This window comes from Homo sapiens, chromosome 14 (assembly GCF_000001405.40).
Source record: "Homo sapiens chromosome 14, GRCh38.p14 Primary Assembly".
NCBI lineage: Eukaryota > Metazoa > Chordata > Mammalia > Primates > Hominidae > Homo > Homo sapiens.
The window spans coordinates 34,344,615-34,351,721 of record NC_000014.9 but is presented as its reverse complement, the minus strand read 5'-3'; the positions used below and the strand labels follow the sequence as shown (position 1 = coordinate 34,351,721).

Below are 7,107 nucleotides of genomic sequence, written 5' to 3'. Positions count from 1 at the left end.
TGCTTGTGTAATTTTTGATAAATAAGACATTCAATATTGTTCACTTAATGAAAACAGCTAAATCCTAAGTTACTGGTAAAATACCTATGATTTAACCTTATGTTTCCTACTCAGGTAAACACCTAAATTCATAGACTATAAAAATGGTTAACAGGGCAATAACTTTAAATGGTGACTATCACAGTTTTCATGAATATTCTAGGTAAACTATTAAGAAGGTGCCTTGCTTGACCTTTGCCATCTGCCATGATTGTAAGTTTCCTGAGGCCTCCCTAGCCATGCTGAACTGTGAGTCAATTAAACCTCTTTCCTTTATTTATTTATTTTTTTTGTGTTTCACACAGACCTTATTTGTTAAGCAGAGTTTATTGTATTTAATCCATTATAAAATTTGAAAAATTGTAGGAAAGCAGCAGACTTGAATTGAGCAATTCTAACAAGGAATAATTCTGGCCCCATGGCAAAACTGATCAGTTTTAAAACAAAGTAAAGTTCACATCGGTTAGGGGGACAAAAAAATGACACTGCTGTACAAACTTCATTTAAAATTACATGTCTAACATGTTTGAAATGCAGTGTGCTCATGAGGGTTTTTCTGAAGTCTTGCCTGGTCTCTGCTTAAAGAGAGACACGGAGCCTCCATATACAAAGAAACTCGATTCAAGGTGTGTCTGTGTTTTTTTTAAAAAAGGAAAAAGACAAAGGAAAAAGAGATAATGGATGGCTGTTGGCAATGGAAACTGTAAGGAGACTGTGTCCTCACTGCTCACGGATTGTTTATTGGTCAAAGGCCTCGGGAGGCCCAGGACACTTCACGGCCATCACAGTACCAACTGCAGCTATCACCTTTTTTTTTTCTTTTTTTCATTTCCTACCTTTTGACATATATAAATACATATATTATATATACTATATACTATATATTATATATAATATATAGTATGTCATATAAAATATATATTGTATATATACTATATACAATATATAGTATATATAACATACTATATAATATATAATATAATGTATATGTATATGTTATATATAATATATAATATATAATTTATAATTATATAATATATATTATATGTTATATGTAATATATAATTTATAAGTATATGAAATATATTATATGTTATATATTATATATAATTTATAATTATATGAAATATATGTTATATATAATATATAATTTATAATTATATAAAATATATGGTATATATAATATAATTTATAATTATATAAAATATGTTATTATATGTTATATATAATAATATAATTTATAATTATATATAATATATGTTATATATTATATATAATTTATAATTCTATAAAATATATTACTATATGTTATATATAATATATACATTTATAATTATATATACTATACAAATTATAATATATAATTGTATATACTATATAAATTATAATATATATAATTGTATATACCATATAAATTATAATATATAATTGTATATACCATATACCATATATATACTATATATAATTTATATAGTATATAAATTATAATATATAATTTATATAGTATATCAATTATAATATATAATTTATATAGTATATCAATTATAATATATAATTTATATAGTATATCAATTATAATATATAATTTATATAGTATATAAATTATAATATATAATTTATATAGTATATAAATTATAATATATATAATTGTATATATTTAATATAATATATTAAATATATATTATATAATTATATATTTAATATAATATAATATTAAATATATTATATAATTATATATTATATAATTATATATATTTATTATTTATATATAATTATATAAAAATATATATTTGTAATTATATATAATTGTATATACTATAGAAATTATAATATATATAATTGTATATAGTATATAAATTATAATATATATAATTGTATATACTATATAAATTATAATATATAACTATATACCATATAAATTATAATATATAATTGTATATACCATATAAATTATAATATATATAATCGTATATACCATATAAATTATAATATATATAATCGTATATACCATATAAATTATAATATATATAATCGTATATACCATATAAATTATAATATATATAATCGTATATACCATATAAATTATAATATATATAATCGTATATACCATATAAATTATATATAATCGTATATACCATATAAATTATATATAATCATATATACCATGTAAATTATAATATATAATTGTATATACCATGCAAATTATAATATATAATTGTATATACCATATAAATTATAATATATAATTGTATATATTTAAGATAATATATATTAAATATATATTATATAATATATATGTTATATATTATATAATTATATATATTTATTTTTATATATAATTATATAAAATATATATTTATAATTATATACTTATATATACTATATAAATTATAATATATAATATATATTATTTAATATATATTATATATAATAAATATAATAATATATATAATATATATTATTTAATATATATTATATATAATAAATATAATAATATATATAATATATATTATATATAATAAATATAATAATATATATAATATATATTATATATAATAAATATAATAACATATATAATATATATTATATATTATATATAATATACTAAATATAATATATTTAATTTATATAATATATAATTATATATTATAATTATAATATATAACATATAATATATAATATATAACATATACTATATACTATATACTATATACTATATACTATATACTATATAATATAATTATATATATTATATAGTATATAGTATATATAATATATGTGTTTATATATGTCAAAAGGTAGAAAATGAAAAAAAGAAAAAAAAAGGTGATAGCTGCAGTTGGTACCGTGATGGCCGTGAAGTGTCCTGGGCCTCCTGAGGCCTTTGACCAATAAACAATCCGTGAGCAGTGAGGACACAGTCTCCTTACAGTTTCCATTGACAACAGCCATCCATTATTTGTTTTTCCTTTGTCGTTTTCCTTTTTTAAGAAAAACACGGACACACGTTGAATGTATATATATACTATATTATATATAGTATATATGTATCATAGTATATATAATTATATTTATAATTACATATAATTATATGTACTATATAAATTATATAGATAATTTTATGTAATTATAAGTATATATATTTATATATAAATATATATAAATATATATACTATATTATATAATATATAATATAATTATGTATATTATATATTATAATATATAATTATATATTATAATATATTGTATATATTATATATTATATATAAAATATATAACATTTTATATATGTTATATATTAAATATGTAATTATATATTATATATAAAATATAATAATATATTTAATATATAATACATTATTATATTAAATATAAATATATAGTATATAGTATATAGATGTTATATATAATATATAATATATAATATATAATAATAGATATAATTATATATATTTTATATATGTCAAAGGTAGGAAATATATATATTATATATAATTACCAGCCTGACCAACATGAAGAAACCCTGTCTCTACTAAAAATACAAAATTAGCCAAGTGTGGTGGTGGATGCCTGTAATAGCAGCTACTCGGGAGCCTGAGGCAGGAGAATCACTTGAACCCGGGAGGCGGAGGTTGTGGTGAGCCAAGATTGCACCATTGCACTCCAGCCTGGGCAACAAGAGTGAAACTCTGTCTGAAAAAAAAAAAAAAGCTCTTCATGGTCCACTGACTGAGGACAATCAACCCCTTCACAGCCTAGGACCTGAAGATTTGATCTTCTGAGAACACCAGAGAATGACTATCCTTGCCATCCACACTGCAGCAACACTTTGAGACCTTGAACCTTGAGTTCATAACACAACTCAGAAGGGCCCCTTCACACTCTTGGATCTGTATACCCATTGGAAACCTTAAGGTAAAGTTAACCAGGGAAGTTTCTCCCCAGAAGAAGATAGCATTTTTGACATGGACAGCTTTTTATCAAGATCACAGATCAAGATTTCTCTGCTATCATGAGATTCCTATCTTTCAGTTTTCTTCCTTGCCTATGTCTAGAAATAAAAAAGGTGGTTTGTTGTGTACTCATGGGGCATACTTTTATTTTTGAAGGATTTTGCAACCAGCCTTATATATGGACTAGTTGATAGATGGAAGATGAAGGGCCAACATGGGTGAGAAATTTTAATGATATATTTGTTATCACATAATTAGAAACAGAACATTGGTCCACTCCTCTTAACCTACGTCATGGGTTAAAGATAACATTGCTAGGAGATCTTCACTCTTCTTTATGGGCATCATTTGTTAGGTCTCTTTTTTCCATAGTTTGGAGTAAATGAGGCAATGATTAGAAATGTATCCCTCATGATAGGCTCTATAGTAGATTCTACTGTAAAGGCTATGGTTACACAGTAGACTTTAAATTCTCTTGTGAAAGTTATGCTAAATAACAGTATTACTCTAGACTACTTACTGGCTAAATAGAGAAGTATATGTGTAGTTGCTGGCACTTCTTGTTGTCCATGGAGAAATACACTGAGTAGTATAGAGATTCAGTTGTAGGGAGATTAATGACTGTTTGGTTAAGGCGAGTAGACCCTTTATCTAGTTCTTTCTTTGATCCATTTTAGTTTAGTTGGTTTGGTTCATGGAGATCCTGGCTAGGGAGCATACCCCAAACTCTTGGTATCATCCTCCTGATAGTCATAATAGTAGTGTCACTGGCATGCTGTATTCTCTCAAAAGTTTTAAATGTTTGCATGCAGCCATTTCTAGAATATCAAATGGTTTCTCTTCAACTGGGATGACAAAAACTTGAAGAAATGTCTGATCACAAGGACATCATAAGCTATGAATGATGTACTGAGACCAGATGCCCAAAATGATGGTAATGAGAGTGGCACTAAGGCCCTAAGTTTTGGTCATATTTTCACCTAAGTGAGAACCTGACCAAAAAGGGGGAATTTTTAAACAAAATTATGGGAGGCCATTGTTTTAGACAGAGCTCATACACTAGGTCCCAACAGACAAGACCAAACAAAAATGTAGTCACTTATGCTAAAAGTGACATAAACTAAGACTTTAAGGAAACAGATCCTAGAACAGACCAGGTTTTGTTTTTCTCCTGTAAATAAGATATTACAGCATAAGGTGGTACCCTCTATTCCAACTTTTATGAAAAATAACTTGAGGTGGGGCATAGTGCCTCATGCCTGTAATTTCAGCATTTTGGGAGGCTGAGGTGGGCAGATTGCTTGAACTCAGAACTTTGAGACCAGCCTGGGCAACATGGCAAAACCCTGTCTCTACAAAAAATTCAAAAATTAGCCAGGTGTGTTGGTGAGAGGTGACAACGTGCTAGCAGCCCTCGCTTGCTCTTGGTGCCTCCTCAGCCTTGGCACACTTGAGGAGCTCATCAGCCCACCGTTGCACTGTGGGAGCCCCTCTCTGGGCTGGCCAAGGCCAGAGCTGGCTCCCTCTGCTTGCACGGAGGTGTGGAGGGAGAGGTGCGGGCAGGAACTGGGGCTGTGCATGGCGCTAGTGGGCCAGTGTGAGTTCTGGGTAGGCGTGGGCTCCATGGGCCCTGCACTCAGAGCAGCCAGCCGATGCTGCCAGCCCCGGGCAGTGAGGGGCTTAGCACCTGGGCCAGCAGCTGCAGAGGTTGCGCCGGGTCCCCTAGCAGCGCCGGCACTGTGCTCGAATTCTCACCAGGCCTCAGCTGCTTCCCCACAGGGCAGAGCTTGGGACCTGCAGCCCACCATGCCCGAGCCTCCCTGCCCCTGCCGTGGGCTCCTGCACAGCCTGAGACTCCACGACGAGTGCCGCCCCCTGCTCCGTGGCGCCTGGTCCCATCGACTGCCCAAGGGCTGAGGAGTGCAAGCGCACGGCACGGGACTGGTGGGCAGCTCTGCCTGTGGCCCTGGTGCGGGATCCACTAGGTGAAGCCAGCTGGGCTCCTGAGTCTAGAGGGGACTTGGAGAACCTTTATGTCTAGCTAAGGGATTGTAAATACACCAATCAGCACTCTGTGTCTAGCTCAAGGTTTGTAAATACACCAATCAGCACTCTGTGTCTAGCTCAAGGTTTGTAAATACACCAATCAGCACCCTGTGTCTAGCTCAAGGTGTGTAAATGCACCAATCAGTGCTCTCTGGGGACTTGGAGAAATTTTGTGTCCAGCTCAGGGATTGTAAACACACCAATCAGCACCTTGTCAAAACGGACCAATCAGCTCTCTGTAAAACAGACCAATCAGCTCTCTGTAAAATGGACCGATCAGCAGGATGTGGGTGGGGCCAGATAAGGGAATAAAAGCAGGCTGCCCCAGCCAGCAGTGGCAACATGCTCCGGTTCCCTTCCACGCTGTGGAAGCTTTGTTCTTTCGCTCTTTGCAATAAATCTTGCTGCTGCTCAGTCTTTGGGTCTGCACTGCCTTTGTGAGCTGTAACACCGCGAAGGTCTGCAGCTTCACTCCTGAGCCAGCGAGACCACAAACCCACCAGAAGGAAGAAACTCTGAACACATCCAAACATCAGAAGGAACAAACTCCGGACACGCCGCCTTTAAGAACTGTAACACTCACCGCGAGGGTCTGCGGCTTCATTCTTGAAGTCAGTGAGACCAAGAACCCACCAATTCCGGACACATTGGCACATACCCATAGTCCAGCTACTTGGGAGACTGAGGTGGGAGGATTGCTTGAGCCTGGGAGGTGAAGGTTGCAGTGAGCTGAGATTGTGCCACTGCACTCTAGCCTGGGCAACAGAGGGAGAACCTGTCTCAAAACAAAAACAAAACAAAACAAAATGTAACTTGAAGTCCTTGTTCCCACTTTACAAAACTCACTGCTCTGCTATTTCCCAGTGGATTTTGAGACAAAATAAGTACATTTATGGTGATGATAGTCACATCAATGACTAAAGTTTTGGTCAAATTTGAGAGGATGACCAAAAGGGGAAAATTGTTCAATCAATTTTAGCCTACAGCTGTTTCCTTACATATTTTAAGTTTGGCCTAAAGATTTCACTGTACATAGTGAACCATAACCGAAATGGATGTGTAAACAGAC

General features: G+C 31.3%; 1 annotated feature.

Annotated features, from left to right (window-relative positions):
- Positions 3,648-3,917: an enhancer, noted in NCBI's record as "active region_8252". NCBI's record gives its function as "activates an Ori minimal core promoter by ATAC-STARR-seq in GM12878 lymphoblastoid cells {active_cell/tissue: GM12878}" and the evidence as "EXISTENCE:reporter gene assay evidence [ECO:0000049][PMID:35858748]".